This window comes from Homo sapiens, chromosome 5 (assembly GCF_000001405.40).
Source record: "Homo sapiens chromosome 5, GRCh38.p14 Primary Assembly".
NCBI lineage: Eukaryota > Metazoa > Chordata > Mammalia > Primates > Hominidae > Homo > Homo sapiens.
Genome location: NC_000005.10, coordinates 33395395 through 33423242, shown reverse-complemented (window position 1 = coordinate 33423242; position 27848 = coordinate 33395395). Strand labels below are relative to the sequence as shown.

Below are 27848 nucleotides of genomic sequence, written 5' to 3'. Positions count from 1 at the left end.
ACTGAAAAGCCACTAGATGTCACGCTTGTCACAGATTTTTGCTATTCTAATTTTTTTTTTTGTAAATATCAAGATCTGGGAGTTGAGCAGGACCTTAAAAACTGTATTTGTTCAATCATATCTGTTAATTAAAAAAAAAGACTATTTGGACTGGATAGATCAAATTACTTAGCTAAATTCACACTGCTAGCTAGCATTAATACCAGACCTCCTGATTTCTATTCCAGTGGAGCCATCTCTCTTTAAAATGAATGATGTTTGAAATGATGTTTTTACATCAGCTGTCAACTTTGGTAATGATAATTTTTTCTTTTTCTTCTTGAACTATCACTCAAAGTAATTTGGGGAACCAATTGTTAAAAAATTCTATGATTCAATATAATATCAATAACAATAGATAAAAAGTAGTTATTACTCATAGATTACTAGACTGCCTTAAAACCCTATTTGAAGATAATTTACAGGATGATGTAAGAAATTGGGTAGATGTGAATAAAAGTGGAAATTAAAGTTCACACACACCTAGCTTATCTGAATTTCGGACTTTGGGAATTTCAGGTTTTCTTTTCTTAAAATGGCTCTGGATAGAAAATAAGTTTTTTAAAACAGCTTTCTTTGAGAAGTGAAATAACTTTTAGGTTTCTGAACCAAACTAATTAACATTAATTTTTATGTAATCCTTTGAACTTTGTCTAACATGCAGTTCTTAATAATTGTGGTTCTCTTATTTATGATTCCCAATACTTAGTTGTGCGAGAGGATTTGAGAGAGAAACAGGGCTGTAAGAGGCAGAATTGCAGCAGATAGCCTGATAAGAGGAGAGGGGAGGATTGCTAGACTCAAAGAAACAAATCTATCTTACATCATTACAAAATAACAGATGTTTCTGATTACAACCTTGTGTCTTCGAGAACAGGTTAAATTATATTGACAGTGCTTTGTGACATACAAGCCTTTTGAGAAGGATTTTCTACAAAATGTTCAAAATGAAGTCTTGGTGTCCAAAAGCAGTTAAATATTGCTTATATAGGGAAGTCATTTATGTAATTCTTATAACTGTGAAGTTACAATAAATCCTTTTTCCAGAGTGAGTGTAAGGTTGGATTATGTATATAAATAGTGAGCCTGTTAATACTGGCTCTGTTGCCTCAGTAAACTGAGAAGAATAATACTACTGCACAGAGGTGCTGTTGGATATTTGAAGGAGTTGTGGAAAATGGAAAGTTCTATATAGTTGTAAGCTATCAAGATGATGATAGTTAGAAAACGTGAATGGACACATTCTCCCAAGAAGAGCTCTCCCTGTGGAGATGAGCTACGGAAACTGGAAGAGCTCAACATTAAAGAGCTAGAACATATGGGAAGCCCAGAGGTTAACTTCTCTGTGGATGATGAAGTAGCTGGACTAATCTACTTTCCAAAAGTTAAGAAGTGATCACAGAGATTCTTCCAGAGATGAGAAAATGGGACCACTCTCTGAATCAATACTGAGATGTGATGTGTCATGAATGCAGGTAAAACCATGGCTATCCAAATAGGATGGAGCTTTGCGACCGTAAGAGACCAGCTCTTGCATTCGTTCTCCCCATCTTTGTTCTGCTTTCCCTGCTCACTTCCAAAATGAAGGAAAGCCAGGACCTGTGTAATATCTTTCTTGAGCTATTTTCAGTTGTATTTTTTATCTATTCCTGGGTTGGAAAATTGAGGCCTTCGGCTGTTTTTCCTGTTTTCTGTGGTCAGGCTTCAGTATTTTTCTACCTCTTTTTAAATCCTCTTGATGAACTTATACTTAAAAAACAAAAGTTGCATGTTGCAGGAATATTCCAGTTGGTTTCAGAGAGGGAGCAAGACAAGTTGGATATCACGTGCCCATATCTCTCATGTATGTGCTAACTGGATTTCTACATTCCCTCAAATTACTTCATGTTTTGCAAAATTGTTGTGTTAGAATCAGCAAACAATTAGAAAATGTACTTTATTTCAGTGTGGCAATTTTATATTCTCTTCTCTATTACTGAAACAAATTATTTCCCACATATTTTGATAACATTATAGTGGTGCTAGTCACATTGTTGTAAGGTGGCGTCAGCGTTCCCATGATAAACTTTGTCAAGCTCTTGTAACTTGGCTACAAAACTCTACCTCGAGTTTGAGACTTGCTTTAATCCCAGAGCCATCTAGGAAAGAAAATAAATTTATCTTAAATTGGACAAAATGTTAGCGATAAAATAATTAACAGTGAAAACCTCCTCCCATTGCTCAAATCTTGATGCTATTTTTCAACAACTCCAATCCCGAAAACATCATTTTTTGAATTTAGTAAATTTTCTCATTCTGTATGAATTTTCATGTAATTTGGAAGTTCATCTTTAGATCAGAGAAGGACATTTTATCTCTGCAAATAAACCAATTAAATATCTGGGTGAGAAAATTCTATTTTTTAAAAGTTTCTTATTTTTAACTAAGTCGTTTCCTAAAGGTTACACAATGGAAGGACAGAAAGGGCAGCCAAGAGCCCTGGAGGCACCATTTGTTCTGATGCTGTCTTTTTTCAATTTAAGAAATAAAGCCACAGAAATCCTGCTTCACTCGCCTTTTCTCTCTTGAGTTGTTTTTTTTTTCCTTTCTAAAGTTTGAGTTCAAATTCTTGTTATTTTGATAGAAAGGGAGTTCTGGTGATAAAAGTGAATAGAACATAGCTACACATCAAATTCACTTTGTAAAAATGTCTCTTCAGAGATTATCAGTAAGTGAGCCAAGGTGCTGTAGAAGTGAAATGCTTTCTGAGTTGAACTGTCTTTCTGGATAAGTTTAATTTTTAAACGGCCAATTTGTCTGCACGCCTCCATTTTTAACTTACCCACTTGATGATAACTTGGGTGACCCTGAGGCTTTTGTTAAACTTACATTCAGAGATCAAGGCTCCAGTCAGGGACTCAGCCCTGCTGGGGATGTTTCCTACTCTCACGGACTTCAAAGAAAACGGAGCCCAGAGAAAGATAGCACACTGGGGTCATCTGAGCCAATTTTTTAAAAATCAAGAATATCATGCAATATACCCAGGTAACACACCTGCACATGTACCCCCCTGAATCTAAAATAGAAGTTGAATTTTTTTAAAAAATGTCCGGGCGCAGTGGCTCGTGCCTGTAATCCCAGCACTTTGGGAGGTGAAGGCGGGCGAATCACGAGGTCAGGAAATGGAGACCATCCTGGCTAACAGGGTGAAACCCCATCTCTACTAAAAATACAAAAAAAAATTAGCCGGGCATGGTGGTGGGCGCCTGTAGTCCCAGCTACTTGGGAGGCTGAGGCAGGAGAATGGTGCGAACCCGGTAGGCGGAGCTTGCAGTGAGCCAAGATTTCGCCACTGCACTCCAGCCTGGGCGACAGAGCAAGACTCCTTCTCGAAAAAAAAAAAAAAAAAAGAATATTTTGGGGTAGGGTTCTTGGGAAGAACCAAACTATGCACAACTTCTAATCACTTTCACAACCCTAAATGAGAATGTTTCATTTTAGTAAGTTCAATCTGAATTGAATGCCAGTCAGTTGGAAAAATAGCAGATGTGTTATGGGACCTCTAAGCTAAATGTGCTTCCTGAAAAAATGCTCTCATTCAAGGTTCTATAAATGTAGTAAGGAATACGCAGTGGGAAGAGCAGAAGAGAAGCCCTGTCTTCACTTTGTTGGATCATTCTTATTAAGTTGCTATACTTCTCTGAAAGTCAGTTTGTGAAAGTTTCTCTCTACATAAAATAAGAAAAGGAAGTTATCATAATGATAGTTTTAAAAAATTGTTTAATGCAAGGACTGGCAAACATTTTCTTGAAAGGGGCAGATAGGAAATATTTTTGGCTTTGCAGGCTGCGTGGTCTCTGTCACAACTACTCAACTCTGCCGATGTAGAGTGAAAGCTGCCATAGACAATACGTGAATGAATGGATGTGGCTGTGTTCCAATAAAACTTTATATACAAAAAGAACTGATGGCTCACAAACCAAAGTTTGGTGATTTTGGTTGGAATGTTTGCATTCTTATTATTTGACAGGTACCACTTCACTGCTTTACATACATGAATATGCCTAAAGAGGTGGAAACTATTATTGTCATCAGTTTATGAATGAGGAAGCCAAAGCTCAGAGAAATTGATCTACTTGCCCAAGGACACATAGCTAGTAAATGGCAGAGCTGAGTTTGAGCATGAAGTCTACCTCCGTCAGTCTCTTACATTTTTCTTTTTTTCTCTTTTTTTAGACAGACTTGCCTTCCCACCTAAAAGCTAAAAGCTTCCGTAAGGGATTTGCAACGACCCAGGAGTATTAGCTGAGTGTGGTGGTGCATGCCTGTAGTCCCAGCTACTCAGGAAACTGAGGCAGGAGAATCGCTAGAAGTCGGGAGGCGGAGGTTGCGGTGAGCCGAGATCGCGCCACTGCACTCCAGCCTGGGCAACAAGAGCGAAACTCTGTCTCAAAAATAAATAAATAAGTAAAAATAAAAATAAAAAAAGACCCAGGAGTAAACACTAGGAAATTTGATATAAACCTTAATAACTCCAACTGGTGAGTGATATAGAAGAGCATTCAGAGTAGTTTGTCACAGAACATACTTTCCAGATGAATCTTGGAATTTAGCTTGGTAATACGGATAATTTGCTTTTTCTGATGTTTGACTATACTTGTTCCACCCATATTTTAGCTTAAAGGGGGATTCCTCTTCTCTCCAAATATATTTACTAGCTTTCCCACCTTTTCCCCCTCCCTTAAAAGCAAGAATAGTACTATTAAGATGCACTACTTACTTGAACTTCTCTTTTTTAAGTGAAAAAACTCAAAGCATATTTTTTTCTTTTACCCTTTCAAGAGGTAAAATTAAAAAGCAGTGTTTCATAAATGGAAACAATGAGAAAACCTTGGCAAGCACCATTGAGATGATGAATTGTAATTCAACATGAAAGTCATTCCCATCCTCTTGTGTGATTTGACAGTTACTTAAGGGCTTCCATCTTTGGTTGTATGGCCTTTGTGATAATAAAAGTGTATGCATTTTTACAATAAGACTGTTGGATTGTTACTCAGACAGAACAGTTCATTTGATGAGACTTAGCAGTATACTGAGATTCCAAGTTGGTTTATCTCCATCAGGGAGAGGAGAGCTCCCCCGATACCTCGTGTTTTCTATCCGGCTCCCAGGGCAAGCTAAGACTGAATGAAAAAATAGTGGAGTATTGACTGACAAACATTTTCTGGGAAGGGGCAGATAGCAAATATTTTTTATTTTGAATGCTACATGGTCTCCATCACAAATACTCAACTCTGCTGACATAGCATGGAAGCTGCCATAGACAATATGTAAATGGTGGATGTGGCTGTACTCCAGTAAAACTTTACCAAAAACCTGATGGCTCACAATCCAAAGTTTGGCAACTTTGGTTGGAATGTGTGCATTCTTATTATGTGACACATACCATTTAGCAGCTTTATATACATTAGTATGCCTAATGTATATAAAACATAAATGTAAAATGTAAAACTCCCACATTTTCAGTGTAGTAGAACCAAATATCACACTTTTCTATAGGCTGGCTGTGGTTTATGATGTTCTTCTCAACCCTTCTCTTAGATTTTCAAGAAGATCTTAGCATAGGGTCTCTGAAAGGGAACAGGGGCTCCAGAGAAAGTCTTGTAGTGCAGCAAATATTCCCAGTGAACCTGACCTAAGCAGTGTGAACTTTCTCAATTCAAAGGTTACCTCTTAATCAATCAGATCTGGAAGGATGCAAAACAGTCCCCAAGATTTGAGCTTCCAGAACAAAACTATCCACCCATGTATGTGCAGTGCCATGGCTAGAACTCCTGGGCTATCTTTTTGTAGGATGGAGCCATTCTGGCTTCTGAAGCTTGGTGAGCTTGCCCTTGTTTTTGGATTGGAGTCATGAATGTTTTATGGACAATAAACCTCCTTGACAATTCTCTGGAGGTCTTCTTGGATTATTAACTCTGTTGAAGGTCTGATTAAGCCAAATCAGCATTTGCAGTTCCTTTTCTGGGAGGAGCAATGCAGTGATGCAGGTGTATAGTTGCCACTAACATTATCATCATCAAGTGGTAATTAGTGACCCATTGGGGATAGCACTGATGCTAGGCATCAGTGCTATCCAGCTGTCTTTCCAGAGTCTCTCACTTTCAGGAATCTCCACATTCTGGGGTCCCCAAGCTAGTCTCTCATTTTTATTCTCTACCTAAACCTGGCCCCTCCAGGTGTGTTACAGGTCTCTGTATCTTATTCGTTTATCTAACCCAGGTATGCACATGTTGCTTGTGTTGGAATAAAGTCTCATCAGGTTGTTTTAGGAAAATTAACCTTACTTTTTAAATCACAATTAGGTGTGAAAGAGGCAAAACAAGATTATGTTTCTTCTTGTTTTCTTGTTTTTTTTTTTTCTAACTAAGAAATACCAACTGTATGAGACACTAGGTTGAATTATAGTTCTCCAGCACAATCAATTAATATATGTATAATATTAAAGTACATGGTTACAAAAGGGATAACAGTAAACTTTTGAACCCTTGATGTTTCAAGAGGAATTCCTTACAAATGAACTAGAAAGTACATGTTTATGATAACAGGATATTTAGAGACACCAAGGCAAAGATGTGATATTTGAATTCTTGAATTGTCTGGAGAGTTCTCTTAATTATCTACTTATTGATGTAGAATTGATCTTCTAAGAAACTACATAGCTTATTTTTAGAAGTATTCCTAGAGAGAGATAATTATACTCTTGTTTTTCATTTCTGGTAAAGTTTACTTTGCTGGAAAAGGATGCAATAAGAGTGAACATTTAATTACGATCCAGCAGCATAAAAATTTGTCATTTCAACTATCTGTACTGTTCTTTAGAAACACATTTTATTTTAATCTAATGTTTTGGTATGTTTATCATCAAATACATTTCTTCTAAATATACAGCAGGGTCAGAGTTTTCCCTAGGACATCATACTATCCAGGGAAAATTAATGACTTAGTAACACAACCTCTGCCTCCTAGACCAAAAAAAATTTTTATGTTTATGAAAGTAACATATGCAGTACTTCTCCCTTATTTACAGTCTTGCTTTCCATAGTTTCAACTACCCTCCGTCAACTGTGGTTCGAAAATATTCGATGGAAAATTTCAGAAATAAACAATTCATAAGTTTTAAGTTTTTCAGCATACTAAGCGGCATAATGAAATCTTTCATCATTCTGCCCTGGAAATGAATTCTCCCTTTGTCCAGTGGATCCATGCTGTAGACACTACTTGCTCATGAGTCAATTAGTAGCCATCTTGGTTATCAAATCCACATTCACATAACTTTATTAGAGTGTAAAGTTATACTTGTTTTATTTTACTAATAGTTATTGTTCTTAATCTCTTACTGTGCCTAATTTATAAATTAAACTTTATCATGGGTAAGTATACATAGAAAAAAACATAGTATATATAGGTTTTGGTTCAGGCATCCACTGGGGATCTTGGAATGTATCTTGTGAGGATAAAGGAAGACTATTCACTCTAGGACATTTGGAAATAGATTTTATATGAAATTATTTTAACATATCATTCATAATTCAACTGTCCATAAATAATCACTGTTACCATTTAATATATTTCCTTCCAGCCCTTATCCATGCAGGCATAAATCAGTGTGCATATATCAATGGGGTCATAGTAAGAATTTTAAGCAGAATTTAACTGGTTTATATTCTTTTTTTCTTCTTTTCTGTTTTTTTTTTTTTTTTTTTTTTTTTTTTTTTTTTTTTTGAGACAGAGTCTTGTTCTGTTGCCCAGGCTGGAGTGCAATGGAATGATCTTGGCTTACTACAACCTCTGCTTCCCAGGTTCAAGCAATTCTCCTGCCTCAGCCTCCTGAGTAGCTGGGATTACAGGTGCATGGCACCACGCCCGGCCAATTTTTGTATTTTTAGTAGAGACGGGGTTTCACCATGTTGGTCAGGCTGGTCTCAAACTCCTGACCTTGTGATCTGCCCGCCTCAGCCTCCCAAAGTGCTGGGATTACAGGCGTGAGCCACCGCACCCAGCCAACAGGTTTATATTCTTATCTGTACAGCTTCAACCTCCAATTGCAGCCTGCCAGCTCCACTCCCTAGTTATTTCTGGGAGTTCCTGGGATGTCCCAGATGAGTTCATAAACAGTTTTTCATGTACTTCTTTATTTCCCTTATTGCCTTCTTCTGCCCTTGTTTGTTGTTCATTGCTGTATCCCTTAGCATCTAGAAGAATGGCTGGCACAGAAAGCAACTGATACATATTAACTGCTGGGTGCATTTGCCCATGCCTATAATCCCAGCACTTTGGAAGGCCAAAGCAAGAGGATCACTTGAGGCCAGGAATTCAAGGCCAGCCTGGACAACAGAGTGAGATCCCATCTCTCCGAAAATATTTTAAAAATTAGCTGGGCATGGTGGCGCGCACCTTGCATATCAGCTATTCAGGAGGTGGAGGCGGAAAGATCGCTTGAGCCCAGGACTATAAGGCCGCAGTGAGCTATGATTGTACCATTGCACTCCAGCCTGGGTGACAGAGCAAGACCCTGTCTCTAATAAATAAATAAATAAACAAACAAACATTGAGGTTCTTAACAAATAAAAATTTAAAAAATACTTCCACAGTGTCCCAAGTGCTCGTGCTCTTTCAGGGGATGCTTTTGTCCCACAAAGGGTGCAGCGTCCTCATGCTCTTCCTAAAGTTCTCACTGGGATGGACCAATGCTTCACAAAGAGGTGTGAAGGCCCCACTTCCCAGCTCTGTGCTTTGTCTCTCAAAATAGCAATGCACTGTGTAGGCCCCCACACCTCACAGAGTTCCTTTGAAAACATTTTCTTTGGCTTCTGCCTGCAGTCCCCTCTGCACTGGACTCAGATCTGAGTCTATAGGGTTGGGAATCATATCTGAAACAGACATTATGCTGTCTCCTCCAGTTTTGTGTCTGTATTTCCTCCTCTCCAAATGTTTTCATACAAGTGAAATTTGATTACAAGAGGAAAAACAAATTACATAGTTGGTGCTCACTGAATATTTTTAAAAGGTGCGAACAGTGGATAAAACATTCCAATGACTCAGTGAGGTGTTTTGCTTGAGAAATGTCTGAGAAAGTGGGAGAAGGATAACCCTATCTCATTTACCTTGGAAATAATAGTTGTAGTAATAATACCAGATGTTTCAAGATCTTTTCTAGGTTTTGATGACATTTTTTTGTTTTAGGTTTTTAAATGTATTTTTGTTTGTTTGTTTTGGTATTGGATTAATTCAATTTCTTGGCTCATATAGTCACGTTCATTTTTTTGTGATTTATGTAATCTATTTACTGATGCTAGATTTATCCCTTGATACAGAAGGAAAATTTAACTTATGCAAGACAAAAGGAATCAAGTCCATTTTGATTTTCAAGGTTAATACTAAAGGGAGAAAAGTGATAAAAGTTTCCGTTTTAGAAGCACAACAATTTTTTCTGTTCCTAGGACTTTGAAGTGTGGTTTCATAATCTGAACCATAAAGTCGATGTGTTTCATGGACTGAAGACTTGGGGATGCCTTTCACCTTCAGCAAAGCTGCTCCCATGGGTCCTCTCTGGGCCAGTGGGGCACTTTGAATAGAGCAAAAGTGAGGACAGTACTCAGAAAAGAAAGTCATCTGGGATTCCTCAGAATGATTTTGAAAGCTATCCCAAATCGTCTTTTCCTTCTTTCCCAACATGAACTTAGTTCCTGGTTCATATCAGCCACTTTTCTGCTGCTCTGTGTCCTCTCATATTATTCCCAAGTTGGCATTAGGGCCATGGGAAAGATACCAGAATGGCCCTCCAGACCCTTTTCCTGAAGCTGCCTGTGCTCTTCAGAGCCTGGCTTCAGTCCCTCCTCTTCTTTGTTTCTGTCTCTAACTATTCCCACCCACCTCAAGTTTCCTTTCACTCTGAACACCTCCAGCACTCACAGTCTGTCTCACATTATTTGGCAGATAGCAAATATTTATTATTGGTCAAAGCCATTGCCTGGGAGTCAAGATATTTTTGTTTTAGTTCAAAGTCCATTTACTAAATGTTTTTAGGTTATATCGCCTTTTCGATTTGGGGGATCTTATTTTTTCATATAAAAATATAGGAGTAGGTAAGTTATCTCTAAGATGGCTTTTAGTTTAATTCCATTACCTCTGCTGCTCAAGTAGATTTGAATTGCACATAGGACTGTAACTGAGATTTCTACCTTCTTCATTCCTAACTGAAAGCTGGGTGCAAAGAAGAGCACAAAAAGTGAATACCTAGTGGCTGATTCAGATCCACAGAAAGTGCAAATATTTTAGTTTTTTATTCTCCTATGAATAGGAAATATAACGTCAAACATTTATTGCTATGTTTTAGACTCATTCTAAAATTAGCCCAAGGTTTCCTATATTTCCTACATCCAATGGAACTGTGTATTAGTCTGTTTTTACACTGCAGACAGAAGCATACCTGAGACTGGGAAGAAAAAGAGGTTTAATGGACTTACAGTTCCACAATTGGGAGGCTGGGGAGGCCTCACAATCATGGCAGAAGACAAGGAGGAACAAGTCATGTCTTACATGGATGGCAATAGGCAAAGAGAATATACCAGCAGGGGAAATGACAGATGATTATAAAACAATCAGATCTTGTGAGAACTCACTCACTATCATGAGAACAGTATGGGGGAAACCTCCCTTATGATCAATTATCTCCACCTGGCCCCACCCTTGGCACATGAGGATTATTACATTTCAAGGTGAGATTTCGGTGGGGACACAGAGCCAAATCATATCAAACTGTAAAATTAGAATTCGTGGTCAGAAGATGACTCTGAACTCCTGTTAAAATTTTAAGTATCTTTTTCTTCATTACAGAGGTTCTCAACTGGGGCAATTTTATTCCACAGGAGACATATGTGGCAATGACCAGACATTGTTTTGATTGTCACTACTGGGGAAGTATCACTGGCATCTAGAAGGTAGGGGCCAGGGATGTTGTTTAACATCCTGCAATGTATGGGACTGCACCCTACAACAAAGAATTATGTAGTTTAAAATATTAATAGTACCAGGCTTGAGAAATTCTACTATATAATAAGCCTATTGATGGTGGAGATTTTTGTCTTATTTGTATTTGTTTTCTAGAGATCAATGCTTGTTTCTCATGTTCTCCAAAACTGATCTAATCCTTTCAGCTTAACATTACTGTTAGGTACATTTTATGGAACTAAAATTATTTGAAAATTGATAATGTATGTAGAGCTTTTATTTTGTAATTTTTTAATAATTAGAATATTCAATTAACCAGAACAATCACCATTCTAACCAATAAGTTTCAGAATTAGAGCCTATAACACTATATAGTTTTCTGTACATTGAGCCTACAAAATGTTATTCATAAACAGTAATATAATCCCACCCTAATGGACTCTCTGAAATTGACATTTTCTTCTGAAGTCAAGTTTAATTATGATAAATAAGTTGTATGAATACCTGAAGCACATTTCCAGATGCGAAGATGAAAGAGTGATGATATACTGTTTCTCAGAAACTGAATTAGTGAGTGAAGAGAGAAGGAAAGGGGAGACATATGATGCTTACACAGTCACTGTTAATATTTTAACTTTCCAAACTTCAGCTTTGAGTATAGCATGGGTTTTTAAAATTTATTTAAAGATTTAATTTTTTTTCTTTTTCTTTTCTTTTTTTGAGACAGTCTTGCTCTGTTGCCCATGCTGGAGTGCAATGACACAATCTCTGCTCACTGCAACCTCCACCGCCTGGGTTCAAGCAATTCTCCTGTGTCAGCCTCCCAAGTAGGTAAAATTACAGGCGCATGCCACTATGCCCAGCTAATTTTTGTATTTTTAGTAGAGAGGAGGTTTCACCACATTGGCCAGGCTGGTCTTAAACTCCTGACCTCAAGTGATCCACCCATCTCGGCCTCCCAAAGTGCTAGGATTACAAGCATGAGCCACTGCACCCAGCCGAAGATTTCATTGTTATTTGCCAAAGATGGTATAGATATTTAAAAGCTGCCAGTTCCTAGATTGATTGATCCATTCAATCCGTCTATCATTCAGTCAAGGAACTAAACATGTATAGATTGCTCTCATGTACAATCTTTTTTATTTATTTATTTATTTATTTTTTAGCAGAGACTCACTGTGTCACTGAGGCCAGAGTGCAGTGGCGGAATCTAGACTTACCACAACCTCCACCTCCCAAGTTCAAGCAGTTTTCCTGCCTCAGCCTCCCAAATAGCTGGGATTACAGGTACGCACCACCATACTCGGCTAAGTTTTGTATTTTTTGTAGAGACAGGGTTTTGCCATGTTGCCCAGGCTGATCTCGAACTCCTGACCTCAAGTGATCTACCCACCTCGGCCTCTGAAAGCATTGGGATTACAGGTGTGAGCCACCGCACCCAGCCTCTCATGTACAATCTTCTATGATAGATAAAGACTAAGGAACAAGGATTCTGTTCTCTAGGAGCATACAGGCAAATGGGACAGATAAGACATATCTGTGTATATATCTAATACAAAAAATAATTTTTAAAAAGTTTATGCAAATAAGATGCAAATAAGTGTTCTTGTAGTTCAGAGGAGGAAAGGTAATTTCCAACTGGTGATTTTGGTGGGGGAAGATATGTTGGGGAGGAACTTTGGGATCAGAAAATATGAACACTATATACAGAGACATGAAATGTTCCTTTGGCCCAGTAGTCTTTGCTCTTCCTGACCAGTGTCAAAACCACTATTTACTGTGCATGGAACTTCTCAGAGCCTTTGATATGCTAAGTAAACTTCAAGAGAAGGAGATATTATGCAGCACATCTCAAACGTGTTAGTAAATGTATCACTTTATTTATTTGTCAGGATGTAAGTTCCACAGACCACATTTCAGAAAATGCTGTTTTACTCTATAGAAGTTGGGTGAATGTGGAAGACAGGCCTCTGGATAATTTTAAAATCACATTCAGGGAAGAGGAAGGGAGGTAACAATTTTCATGTGACTGAAATTGTGCTGCGTCCTGTACGTAACCACTTGCATGGGCCACCAAAAACTTCCAGCCCAAAGAAAGGGTTGGGTTTGAGACCAAGGATGAGCAGACTGTTGGGTGCCATGGGGGCTATGTGTTTCATGTCACAGATACACACCAAGAATCCATTTAGCTCCATGGTAACATGGAGACTGGCTGCCTCACTTAGCCGACTCATTTCCTCATATTAAACTTGAACAGTACATGAAAACCAGGTTCCAGGCATCCCCCCAACACCCCTCCTTTTTTTCCATTTTCAGGATTAGAAATTTGATCTTTGGAATTACGCTTTTTTTCTTTTTAAAATAAAACGATGGTGGCAGGTTTGGTATGGAATGCTTCTTTAATTGTAAATAATTGTTTCATATTTTGTCAATGGGGCCTACTTAGAATTGAAGGGTCCCTAGGTCAAAATGTGGAACCCATTCAGACAACATCAAAGCCTTCTATGTTCTCTCCAGAGGGCAGAGAGCAGATACATCTGCTTGATCCAACGCATACTTTTCTTGCAACCAACCAGTCGTTTATTGTTTTAGCACACACTGACAAGCAATGAGACAAGACAGGGACAGAGGAGGCAGCTTGCCAAGGGATAGGGCCCTGAGCATCTGTAAAGCAGCATTGCAAAATCACAGAACACTAAAGCTGAAGGGAACTTATTGATTCCCATAAAAGAATCAGCTTCCCTAGACAAGATGGGGGGAAACTGAGGCCAAGAAGGCCAAGTGACATACCTTAATTAATCAAGAAATAAAATCAGATTCTGGGCTCAGCATCTCAGTCCTAAATCAGTGTCCATTTTTCTGCATCACAAATTAGTACTCACAGTTTGGATTTCATTATGCAATACATTCTCTATCTACTCTTAGCTTTTTTACTTTTAGTTTGTTTGAGAGTAAATTGGGATTCCCAGCTATCCTTTACTCAGGCATGAGCCTTTGGAGGCTTCTAACTTGAAATAGATGGTTCTGGCATTTGGATGGAGTGGAACACAAACAGATTTGCAACAGAGATTCAATTTTGTTGGAAACTCACTGGGGTTGAAAAATGAAAGACGAAATTGCCAGATAGAAATGTGTTTGGGGTTTTAGTGAATCCAGAATGCTGAGAAAGAGTTGAAGAATTTGGACCAATCTCCTCATTGCTTGGCTTGCTCAGCCCTGCTCAGCACTACAGGAAAGTTTGGTGGAAAACACTGGAAAGAGGCTTTGTCTATAAATATCCCAGCAATAACCAGTCGACCAAAACAATCTTGGGCTCATGCTTTTATTCTCAATATATCCATGACACAATTAGCAAATGTTTACTAAGCAACTACTGTGTGCTAGGCAGTGGGGATACAATAGCTTTAGAGATGCTCTCTCTCCTAGCAGGTTGTCTTCTAGCATGGAATTTCCAGGGGCCTGGCATGGTGGTTTGTGCCTGTAATCCCAGCACTTCAGGAGGTTGAACGGGGAGGATTGCTTGAGCCCAGGAGTTCAAGAGTAGGTTGGGTAACATAGTAAGACCCTATCTCTACAAATAATATAAAATTAGCTGAGCATGGTGGCATAGGCCTATAGTCCCAACTACTCAGGAGGCTGAGGTGGGAGGATAGTTTCAGTCTGGGAGGTTGAGGCTGTGGTAAACTGTGATAGTGCCACTGCATTCCTGCCTGGGTAACAGTAAGACCCTGTCTCAAAAAAAAAAAAAAAAAAAAAAGAGGAACTTCCAGGGGACTTCTAGAAATCGTCCTTGACCTGCAGTTCAAGGACACTGCAGCAAATGTTCAGGTGCATCCTTCACTTGTGGAAGGGATCTTGAACTCAGCTCACAACTGAGGTTCAAACGTCAATACTCTGGTCTGGTGCACTGGGGTGCCAGGGGCAGGAGTTGGAAGTCAGAGATAAAGGATCCCCTGAGAGAACATCATCATGAGCGAAGACAGTAGGCCCAGTTGTTCAGATAGAACAATGTGATGATGGTCCGGATGTTGGAGAGAGTAGTGGTTTCAGTTTTGGTGTGAAACTACACTTGACCCAACCAATTCTCCCTCATTCCTCAAGAGTGCTTAGTCCTTTCCACCAGGTATTATGTTATTTAGACATCTCTTTCTCCAACTAGACTGTAAGCCTCTTAAAGGCAAGGTATATATTTTAAATAATAGTAACTTTTGTTGTTTTTTCTCTTACTTGAAAGGAAATGCACATTTATTATCAGACACTTAGAAAATAAAGATAAGCAAAATGAAGCAATACAATGTTTGGAAAATTTCCATACACCTTTCTGTTACTGATTTCTAAGTAAATTACATTGCAGCTAGAGAACGTAATTTGTATGAATTTAATATTTTCAAATTTATTGAGATTATTTTAAGGACAAAAATACAGTCTGTCTTGCTAACTAGTGTATGCGTAGTTATAAAGACTGTGTATTCTGCTGTTGTTGGGTGGGATGTTTTATAAGTGTCAATCAGGCCAGATTGGTTCATAGTGTTGCTCAGGTCTCATATTCCCTTACCGATTCTCTGTTTACTTGTTTCATCAATTAATGAGAGAGAGGTATTGAAATATACAACCCAAGCTGTGGCTTTGTCTATTTTGTTTTCAGTTCTTTTAGTTTTTGCTTCATGTAGTTGAAGAAGCTCTGTTACTAGCTTCTAGTTCTTACTTTGGTGCTGCTGACCCCTGGGTCTGCACAGTTCAGGGTCTCGTGGATCAGGGGCAGGTTTTGAGTGTCTTGGTGAATGCTATTGCTAATAAGAAATAATAAAGTAGGAAGCAGCACCTGATTTTGGTGCTATTTGATACCTTGTTTGAGGAGCCCCTCCCTTATTTTCAGAACCCCATCCCTGACTATCCCCTCTGTGCCTTTGCTCCTCTCTGTGCTATAAAGAAGCTCATTTCAGATTGCTCTGTTAGATTTATTTAAAATTTTCCTTTCTTTTACCCCTCTCCAAAATGCCTGGTTCTATAGGGTTCAGATGAATGGCAACTGTAACTACTGTAATGAGATTAACAAACTCTAGTCCAAATGTTCTATCAGACCCAAGTATTGAATCTATCTCAAGCAAGAAAGGAATCCACTGAAAATATACTGAGTAACTCACAAAATACAGAAGGAGAAGGTTTCTAAGCTCAGAAATGACATAAACTAAGGAAGGCCAGTGAATTAGTCCATTTTCACCCTGATATAAAGAGCTACCTGAACACTGATATAAAGAGCTACCTGAGACTGTGTCATTTGTAAAGAAAAGAGCTTTAATAGACTCACAGTTCCACGTGGCTGGGGAAGCCTCAGGAAACTTACAATCATGATAGAAGGTGAAGGAGAAGTGAGCACCTGCTTCAAAAGGCAGCAGGAGAGAGAGAGAGAGAGTGAGGTGGGAACTGCCAAACACTTTTAAACTACCAGACCACATGAAAACTCACTCACTATGAGAACAGCATGGGGGAAACTTCCCCCATGATCCCGTCACCTCCCACCAGGTCCCTCCCTCGACACATGGGGATCACAGCTTGAGATGAGATTTTGTTCGGGCCACAGAGCCAAACTATATCAGCCAGGCAACAGGTACATAATTTAGAACATGTCACAGGAACAGCTGGTTGGAGTATGGCCACTGACCTGACTGCCTCTGAGCACACTGAGCTACAGCTGCTGGCCCCCTACCTTTGAGCCATTGTCTCTGTCCTTTACGTCATTCTTTCTCTATTCAAAAATCCAAGGAAGAAGCATCCAATTATCCAGGCTTAGGTTTTACACCTGTGTCCCCTTTACCAGAAAGTTGAGGAAGAGAATAATTTGTCCCCTAACTCCAGCTTCTGTAGTTGGGTATGAGCCCAACTCCTCAAGCAGAAAGAATGTTTACTTCTTGTGCTGATCCAAACCAGAATAATGTAATTGAATAATAATTTAACCTTCCTCCTGATAACATATTTTAATAAGTGCATTCAAAACTTTAATGGAAAGGAGGACCTAATACAATAACAGCAATGACTTCTTGCAGCAGAGTGGCTATCAGGTTTATTGACTCCCCTTTGACCATATCAAGAATAACAATAACAAATTATAATTTAAATAATTTTTGCATAGTTTAAAAAGCATTCTTGTAAAAATTATCTCATTTCACCTTGATAATTTTCCTGAGTAACAGACAGTCTAGAATTTTGAGTCCTATTATACAGATGGAAAAACTGACACCTAAGGGGGTTTCACCTAGCCTGAAAGGGAGTAGAAACATGGTTTGAACCCATGATTCCTTTTGCTACATTCTGTTGTCTGTCACATGGAGCTGCCCACTTTCAATAACCCTAGTTCACACTAAGAACCAGAAAACAACTTCAAAAAACTAAATGTCTAAAAAATTGGCCTTGTCTCTAGCAGTGGTTCTCAAATATTGGTCCATGGACCAATGGAGTCAGGTTCACCTGGAGTTTCTGCTGCACCCCATCTTCAGTCCTTCTCCCAGGTGTTTCCCTTGAGGCCACCATTTTTAATACTTTTAACCAAGTGTCTTAGTCCATTCATGCTGCTATAACGAAGTACCTTAGACTGGGTAATGTATACACATTGTAAGTTTATTGCTCATAGTTATGGAGGCTCGATAGTCCAAGATCAAAGTGCTGGCAGGTTCAGTGTCCAGTGAGGGCCTGTTCTCTGCTTCCAAGATGGTGCCTTAAACACTGTTTCCTCTGGAAGGGACAAACACTGTGTCCTCAGATAGTAGAAGGGACAGAAGACAAAAGGGCCTAGCTAGTTCCCTCAAGTCCTTTGACAAGGGTATCATCCCATCCATAAGTGCTCTGCCCTCATGACCTAATCACCTCCCAAAGGTTTCTTTCTTTTTCTTTCTCTTTCTTTCTTTCTTTCTTTCTTTCTTTCTTTCTTTCTTTCTTTCTTACTTTCGTCTGTCTTCCTTCCTTCTAAAAAAAATGGGATACATGTGCAGAACGTACAGGTTTGTTACATAGGTATTCATGTGCCATGGTGGTTTGCTGCACCTATTTATCCATCCTCTAAATTCCCTCCCCTCACTCCTCATCCCCCACCAGGCCCTGGTGTGTGTTGTTCCCCTCTCTGTGTCCATGTGTTCTCATTGTTCAACCCCCACTTATGAGTGAGAACATGCAGTGTTTGGTTTTCTGTTCCTGTGCTAGTTTGCTGAAGATGATGGCTTCCAGCTTCATCCATGTCCCTGCAAAGGACATGATCTCATTCCTTTTTATGGCTGCATAGTATTCCATGGTGTATATGTCCCACATTTTCTTTATCCCGTCTATCACTGATGGGCATTTGGGTTGATTCTATGTCTTTGGTATTGTAAATAGTGTTGCAATAAACATACGTGTACATGTGTCTTTATATTAGAATGATTTATATTCTTTTGAGTATGTACCCAGTAATGGGATTGCTGCATCAAATGGTATTTCTGGTTCTAGATCCTTGAGGAATCTCCATACTGTCTTCCACAATGGTTGAACTTATTTACACTCCCACCAACAGTGTAAAAGTGTTCCTATTTCTCCACAGCCTCACCAGCATACTGTTTCTTGACTTTTTAATAATTGCCATTCTGACTGGTGTGGGATGTCTCATTGTGGTTTTGATTTGCATTTCTCTGATGATCAGTGATAATGAGCTTTTTTTCATATGTTTCTTGGCCACATAAATGTCTTCTTTTGAGAAGTATCTGTTCTTATCCTTTGCCCCCTTTTTAATGGTTTTTTTTTTTTTCCTTGTAAATTTGTTTAAGTTCCTTGTGAATTCTGGATATTAGATCTTTGTCAGATGGGTAGATTGCAAACATTTTCTCCCATTCTATAGGTTGCCTGTTCACTCTGATGATAGTTTCTTTTGCTGTGCAGAAGCTCTTTAGTTTAATTAGATCCCATTTGTCAATTTTGGCTTTTGTTGCAATTGCTTTTGGCATTTTTGTCACGAAGTCTTTGCTTATGCCTATGTCCTGAATGATATTGCCTAGATTTTCTTCTACGGTTTTTATGGTCCACCTTTTAATACTATCACTTTGAGTCTTAGGTTCCAACATAAGAAATTTGGAAGGACACATACATTCAAACCATAGCACTGAACCTGTTTGTTTGTTTCTTTCTTATTCTTCTGATGGTTATCTTCGTGTTTACTGCTAAATTATGAATTATATATTTTAGGCATTATCTACTGTCATCCTACCATATTAGGTTTTAGCTCATAAATATTGCCTTTGATCTCCTTACCCATTCCTAATACAAACATATGACCATTTTTATTATTTCATTGATTACACTTGTAAATGTTGATTGATAATTACACTTGACTCCACATTTTGTACAATGAGGAAAATCATGTCCTTTCTTAACAGTTTTCCTCTCCCACTTTCAGCTTCCAACTTTTCAGATCTATACTTTTATGTTCTTAAGGTTGATAGTATTGGTATTTGTATCCTGTTTCCTAATCATTATTAAGAACTTTGTGTTTTAGCTATAAACTGGTTCTAAATATATAAAATTAGAAAACAGTGTCTATATTATAGCAATGTAAATATTGTTTACCTTGCTACACAAGAGATCCATGCAATCTGTTATGATAATGGCTTATTTCTTGTACAGCCTTCTGTTTACATAGGACAGGGTTTGGCAGAATGTTTCTATAATAGTCAGATAGTGAATATTTTAGGTTTCGTAGACAATATGGTCTCTGTTGCAGTTCCTTTTCAACATTGCTACTGTGGTGTGAAAGCAGCCAGAGACAATATATGAATGAATGAACATGGCTGTGCTCCAATAAAACTTTATTTACAAAAGTAGGCAGTCGGCTGGATTGAGTCAGCAGGTCATAATTTGCCCACCCTGAGTGTAGGAAACTCTAGTTGCCTTTCTATTTTCTTTAGCATTCACCTTATCCCATTCTTAACTTTGTCAAATGTCTCAAAGAAACTATCAAGTCTTTGAGATTCTCTTGTTTTCTCTAATCTGCCTCTACAGCATCTGCTTTCAATTCTGCTAGGATTGGGATTTATAGCTTTCTTTGTGCTTGTTGTCCAGCTATCATTCATTCAATTATTTATTTAGCACCTTCTTTTGGAGCACCTGCAATATATTAGGCAACATTCTAGTTCAGAGATAGCCTGGGGTCAGGTTTAGTTTTACTTTGTAAAGATAATGCAATATGATAAGTTTTGCATACTTGTTTTTGTGTGAACATCAGCTGTAATAAAGCTAATAAAGTAATTATATCTGAAACATATACGTGTATAATAACAATGGCTAGCATTTATTAGGTTTTAATTACAGTATAATAAATGTTTTACATGAATTATTATCCTATTCCCTCTCTTAAGTACTAATCACACTTCTGGGAAGACATTGGTATTTGGGAGGAGAGGCAGTTACTCCTATTTTTTTTAGAATAGTGGTCAACCAATTAGTATAAGATACATAATTTTGGAATTCTTAGAAAGTAAAGAGGCTGGGCACGGTGGCTCATGCCTTCAATCCCAGCACTTTGGGAGGCTGAGGCGGGTGGATCACAAGGTCAGGAGATCGAGACCATCCTGGCCAACACGGTGAAGCCCCGTCTCTACTAAAAAAAATACAAAAAAAAAAATTAGCCAGGCATGATGGCGGGCACCTGTAGTCCCAGCTACTTGGGGGGCTGAGGCAGGAGAGTGGCATGAACCTGGGAGGCAGAGCTTGCAGTGAGCCGAGATCGCACCACTGCACTCCAGCCTGGGCAACAGAACGAGACTCTGTCTCAAAAAAAAAAAAAAAAAAAAACAAGAGAAAGCAAAGAAATTAACTAGATGGTCTCTACAAGGAAATTGGACCGTTAGCAGCAGGAACTACAAATTTGGTGGTCCAGGAATAAGACGATGATATTGGTTTGTCATTTTAATTTCATCCAGATGGCTATAGGACCTTTAAGGAATGTAATGACATTAACAGCAAGAAAATAAAATCACCAGCCGTGAGCTCTAAGCTCTATCCTACCACTCAAAGATTCATTCCCCTGCTTAGTCATCTTTTCATCTGGCTTTATCTTAAAAGGTGAGTGTTATCCTAGACAATTGTTTTATAGGTCACCAATTCTTGTTTTTTTATCAGACCAACTCCATGATTAATTGTTTGATTGGGGAATCTGATGATTTTTTTCATATTTTCATGCAGACCAACAATGGTTAGTATCAGAGCTGATTTTATCCACAGTGGGATGAGTCTCTCATTACTTGGTTTCCTTTTGTTGATAATTATAACTCCTCTCTACTCCCTTTTCTTCCTTAAATTTAGAAATCCCAGTACTTAAGGCAACTCCGGTCACTCCACATTTGAAAACCATCACTTGCATTTTTGAACTTCCTCCAGCCAAATCACTAAAAGAATGTATTCCTGAAGCAATTGCTCTGGTGATTACACCGATTTTGCCTTGTTCTAGTGACAAGTGTCAGGACCAGGGCAATTATGACTCACTGGGAAAAGAACATCCTAAATTGAATGCTGCCCAGGACCTAGGCATCCAGGCTGTCTGGGGTTTGCTGTTTTTATTAAGGCTACAGGAAGGAGGTTTTGTTATATTAGTCACCACCTGTTTAACTATACTTCCTCTCCAGGTTGTCTGTCTGGCTGGCCTGCCTAGGCCCCATCTCCTAAGCTGGGGAATTGATATGTTCATTTAGATCCTTCTTAATTGCTGAGGGAAACAGAGACCATGAGTCCTGCCTGGTTCAGCTAGCCCTGCAGAGCAGCATGGCTGGGCTTGCATTCAGAGGGGTTCTTTCATTATTAGGGAGGTTAGCAATTCTGTGACCAGAGAGCAACTAACACTAAAGCTGTGAATACCTTAAATTTCTCTGACTTCCACAGACAAGATATTTTGGAACAATGTACCTTCAAGAACTTAAATCCCAATGAAAATATAAGATGAGTAAATAACTAACTACAAAAGAGGTTCTCAGTGTGAATTAAGAATCCTTAGGTGAACAGTTATATATATATATATAAATGATAATAATACATAACAAAATAATATAATGATAATCACTAATATTTCTTGAACACCTAATGTATTAGTCCATTCTCACACCGCTATAAAGTATACTACCTGAGACTGGGTAAATATAAAGGAAAGAGGTTTAATTGACTCACAGTTCTGCAGGCTTAACAGGAAGCATGGCTAGGAGGATTCAGGAAACTTACGATCATGGCAGAAGGCAAGAGGGAAGCAGGCACCTTCTTCACAAGGTGACAGGAGGGAGTGCGTGTGAGAATGAGGAAGTGCCACACTTTAAAATCATCAGCCTTTGTGAGAACTCACTCACTCTCATGAGAACAGCATGAGGGAAACTGCCCCCCTGATTCAATCACCTCCCACCTGGTCCCTCCCCTGACACATGGGAATTATTAATACAATTCGAGATGAGATTTGAGTGGGGGCACAGAGCCAAACCGTATCACCTATCATATGTCAGGCTGTATCAAGTACTTTAATAGACTGTTTAATCATTGTTCAAGGTAGGTACTAATACTATCTTCATTGTCAGAGGAGAAAACTGAGGCCCAGATAGAGTAAATGACTAGCCCAAGGTTCCATTACTGATGGGTGGCATAACTAGGATTCTGATTGTTGGATTATATTTTTCTCTCTCTTATCTATGATTATTCTACACATAAATGTCTACAGAAGTTTGAACTAGGATGATGATTGGAGAAAGCTTCAGAGAAGTGAAATTCATATAAGATGGTCTTAAAGCACAAGTTAGAAATAGAACAGTGGAAATAGTAGTGAGAGAAGAAGCCGGGCGTTAAAGGTGGAAGAAATAATGGACAAAGGCTTTATGAGCATTATTTTCTCTTTTATCTGTTGCCTCATCTCTCCAATGCCCCGTGCCTATCTGTACATCTTGTTCAGCTGTATATACTATTGGGTTGTGTGTTCTGACATGATTTTTTTTTTTGTTAAGGCCACTTCATTATGACTAGGTAAGGGGTCCCTCTAAAGGATGTGGGTCTCTCAGTATATCACTTTTGGAAAGGATCATTCTTCTGACAGCACATTGATTCTCCTAATTTTTGGGAGAAACTTCTTAGACAGGAGGAGAACACCTGCTGCTTTTAAGTCTGCCTCTTTGTGAGTCTAAAATTAGAGATAGATTTGAGGGCCCTACTGTACATTGTGGGAAATATCCCTACTTCTGTATGGAGGCAGGGAGGCACATTAAGAGACATCCCCATAGGAGGAGATATTTTAGATGACATAACTGAAGATACTCCATAAAATAGATGATCTTGCTTCATATTACTTTATTTTTCTTTTGTGATCTGAGAATCTTCAGTAGTTTTATTTAAATGCTTAAACTTGATCTTGGCTGTTATGCTCTTTGAACCAAAAAAAACTGTAATGCCCCCTGAGGTCAGGATAGTGAGGCAGCTATAATTCCTTCACTTTCCCCATCTCCATTCTCTCTCTCTCTCTCTCTCTCACACACACACACACACAAACACACACACACACACACACTACCACTCTTACTTTCTTGGTATCCATATACTGCTACCCACATACATACTTTTGGAGGGCAGGCTATGTGTCACACACAGTGTTAAGAACTTCATGCATAATATCTTAATTAATGTTCACGCCAACACTTGAAATAGGTGCCATTATCACCTCTACTTTATTTTTGAGGGCCACAGAACTGGTAAGTGGTAGTTTCAGTCATCTATTGCCATAATAATGCTGCAAAATAAATGGCTACAAAACATCAGTGACATACAATAGTGAATGTTTGTTTTTGTGCATGAGTTTGTGGGGGTTCAGCTAATGTAATCTGGACTTGGTTTATCTCAGCCCGTCCCCCTCTTGTGTCCAGCTCTGGGATGGCTCAGTGGCTTTGCTGATCTTGGCTGGACTTGCTCCTAGGGTTTGACTGGTTACTGACTGATTGAGGATGACCTCAACTGGGATCACTAGGAGTTTTTCTTCTCTTCAGTTCTTGTCCATCCTTGCTAGTCTAGGCAGGTCCATCTTATGGCATGGCAGAGGGAAAGAGCAATAAGCAGAGCCATGCTTATAGTATCATGTCTGCTCATATTCTCTTGGACAAAGCAAATCACATGGCCAGGTTAAGAGGGAATGACAAGGTTACATGGCAAAGGGCTTGGAGAGGTGAAAAATTGAGCCATTAATCCAATCAACCTACCATAATGGTGGAGTTCATACCCCTTCTCACTTCTCTGTCTCCCACTAATTAGTGAAAATTATCTAATATTTTTTCCAATTATTCTTTACTTACCTTCTTCCAAGAGAAGATTAATTATTGACTAGAAAATTTGTGGCTGAAAGGTCTATCCACCTCCCCTTTCTCGTGGAGATTCTCCCCACACTGACAATTTCAGAAAAGCAGTTTTCTTCTTTGTAATGTGTGTATTCATATCCTGGAATTGTGATAACTCATCAGACTCCAAGTGAAAGAATTTTCTTTGGTGCAGTGGTTATCAAGATTCCAGAGGATGAAGACTCTTTTTCAACAACAAAGCACTCACAGAGCCTTACATGATATTAGCTGTGTCAGACTGAAGAAATACATAACAGCAAAGGGTTATTTTAAGTTCAGTCCAGGTGTTTAGACTAATTTACATTTTAATAATCCCCACAATATCTCTATACATTTTGAAAATAGTGGTATTTATATATGTGAGATATTATTTATGTATTTAAGAGAGAGTGCAGTTTGAGTATATGAATTCTTTGTTTCCTTGCCATATCTCTGAGGCTTCCTTCCCAAGTAAAGACACACAGACAAATACATACCTATCTGCCTCTTAGCCTTAGTGACAGAGGCTTTCTTATTACATATTTTACAACATACGTCATAGTAAATGTAGGGCTGACATTGCAAATGGAGCCCACTGGAGCTGCCTTTCACAAGGTGCAGGAAGTGGCAACCTCCTGACTCTCTACAGAGAATCTTCATTGCATACAGGAGAAAGGCCTCTCTCCTAAGCCAGGGATTCAAAAATCTTCCATATTGAGCTTAAACTTCCCTTTCCAGCTTTCTTTTTCACACTGCCTTTATAAAATGCTCCTCTATCCAGCACATTTTGCTTATTTCTACTTTTTGCTTTGCATTAATTATCTTCTCAGTCAGTGATGGGTAACCAATCACCTGTGCCTGAAGGCCAGGTTTCTGGTTCCCTGAATCCTTCCTTAACTTGGTCTCCAGCCTGTCTTTTACTTCCTTATTCTGTTCATCTTGTTACTTAATTGGCTTCTTATATTCAATTTACTTCAATTCACATTTATTAAGCACTTACAGGCACCATACAGCAGGCCAGATCCCAGGGTTTTAGAGTGAAAACTCTCTCTGCTGTGAAAAAACCCAGCTATTTTCTCTACAATACAGATTCCCAACTCCATTGCATGTACTTTAATTTTATATACCCTAAAATACCAAGTAAATAGAAAATGGTTTAAAAGTACACCTTGAATTACTAAAAAGAAAATCACTGATGATATTTTCCCTTGGGGAATATGTATTGAAGGTCTTAAATCTGAAAAGATGAACTTCTGTGGCTTCAGAAGATTTTCCTCTGACCATGGTGAGGAGGGTAATTGTAAGACAGCCAAGCCCAGTGTTGCCTCAACATTGAATCTGGACTATTATCTAAGGGGTCCACCCTGAGCTTAGACAAAAAGTGGAAGAGCAAGAATTCTTTTATTAAGGGTTTGGAAAGGGAGGGGCTGATCAAAAGTTACTTCAGAACAAGAGCCTGGAGGCTCTCTCTGGGCACTTGGCAGTGGTTCCTTGTTGCTTATACCATGTGGATGAATGTTGACAAAGTCAGAAAGGAAATTACTAGATTTGGGATTGAAAGAAATGGATGCCTCAGTTAATTCTTGGCTCCATTGCCTGTATGTCAAATTTTAGACTGCCCCTTTTCCATGACCTCTGTTGGGTAGAAGCAGGACAGACCAGAATCTCCCGGTAATCTCCCTCTGGGCTAGCAGGAGAGACTGCCATGAGAGATGCCCAATAAATATGCCAGTTGGCTTTAAGATTTCCACTGTAATGACCTTGGTGGAATCAAGTAATTTCCCTGCCAATCAAAAGCAGAGATGTCAGTGGAGGAAGGAAAAAGAAAAAAAAAATGGAATTTGGCAAACAGGCATCTCATTTGTATCACATCTTTGAGCAACAACTTCCATCAAGACTGCAGTGTTCCACTTCTGGGTGTGCCCACAAATACCCACTAAGATGGCCTCCCTTGCCTTTATAAATTCATATGTAACAGCTGCTAAGGAACCAGGAAAAAAATAATGCTGATGTTTCCATGTTTAATTAGTGGAATAGTTATTAAAACCGGATCAATCATAGCCTTTCCTGGCTATCTGTCACTATGGTGTTCAAGAGCTTTCTCTTCTTCCTGTGAAAATCAACAATATGTGATTGTATAAAACATTCATAATGTTTCATGTACAAAACAATGGCCAACTTATTTCTTTGCAGTACAGCACAAATCACATAACTGACTAGCAGTCAAGTTTGCACATAATTCTGACTTCAGCCACTCATGTGGTACTTTGCTTCACTAGCTGCTTTTTGGTCCTTTGGGATGGTGGAATAGGACTGTTAGGAAGAAAGACTGACAAAGATTCTTTGCTTGGCCAAACATTAGTCAGGCTCCTGAACCTTCTCCTAGGCCCATTCATATACTTCATTGCAGTATCCAGTTTCAGAAAGAACCCCCACCCTTGATATCTGATCACCCTCAATATCTGATTGGGTTCCTCAACTTCCGCTATCTCCCAGGCAATGTCTGACTACCTGGCCTGTCTTCAGCAAGAATACTGTTAGGTCAGTTGAGCCAGAATCCCTCTTACCACTAATGTTTCCTCTTAGTAATTTTCCATCCACTGACCCCACCCTGCTCCTTGGCTGTAAATTCCACCTTGCTCGTGCTGAATTTGGAGTTGGGTCTAATCTCTCTCCCCTACTGCATGACCTTGTTGCCATAGTCGCTATACCTATCGTGATGGTGCTGAATCATGTCTTCCTTAAGATGCTTTAATGAGTGTCACTGAATAATTTTTTTTAACAAGATCCATATTCTGGCCTTATTTCTGTACTGTTTATTAATTAGCTGTGTATCCTTAGGAAAATTGCTTAAATTCGTTGGATTTCCGTTTTTTCAAAATTGTGAATGAGAACCTATTGTCATTGAAAAATCTACTGAGATGCTAATTGCTGTCATGTTTTGTTTTCAATACTATAGAAAATGGGAAGATTTGAAGGTAATTTTCCCTTTCTCTAACCAGATCCCCACTCCCTTTATCCATCCCTTGTGTTCTGTGCTTTCTGGATCCTAAGGGAATTATGTTTCTTTGTGTATTAGACATCCCCCTTCCTCAAGACCACCACTGCCCAGAGCTTTGTTTGGAAATATGGGGTTACTGTGGAAAGGAAGAAGAAAATTAAGCGAGGGCTGATTTTTAGCCATCTCAGGTGGGGTTAAGCCAAATTCTACTTGAATTTAAAAAGTACATGGCTACTCTGGGTGCACTGCCTATGGGTTAGCACTACTGCATAAGTAGCAGTAAAAAAAGTACTTGAGATAATTTTTGCATGTCAGCATTGTGGTGGAGGCTCATACATGCTTCCTCTCTTTTGGAGTGAATGTCAGGACTGAAATCATGGAGCATATGTGAAAGCATCTAGCCCAAATGCCTCACACGAAGTGGGGTCAATAAATACTTATTACATTTCTCTTTTCTGCCTACTTGTTTGTAC

General features: G+C 38.9%; 1 long non-coding RNA gene across 1 annotated transcript in view, besides 1 other annotated feature; it reads left to right on the top strand.

The window, feature by feature from the left end:
- TARS1-DT (TARS1 divergent transcript) overlaps window positions 1-15321 on the top strand; it is a 32713-nt gene extending 17392 nt beyond the window's left edge. Inside the window, exon 3 of the long non-coding RNA XR_001742630.2 lies at window positions 12198-15321. This is a non-coding gene — a long non-coding RNA (TARS1 divergent transcript). The remainder of the gene's footprint in view (window positions 1-12197) is intronic.
- Window positions 21506-21800: a silencer, noted in NCBI's record as "tiled region #14601; K562 Repressive non-DNase unmatched - State 24:Quies". NCBI's record gives its function as "represses a minimal TATA promoter and a strong SV40 promoter by Sharpr-MPRA in K562 cells {active_cell/tissue: K562}" and the evidence as "EXISTENCE:reporter gene assay evidence [ECO:0000049][PMID:27701403]".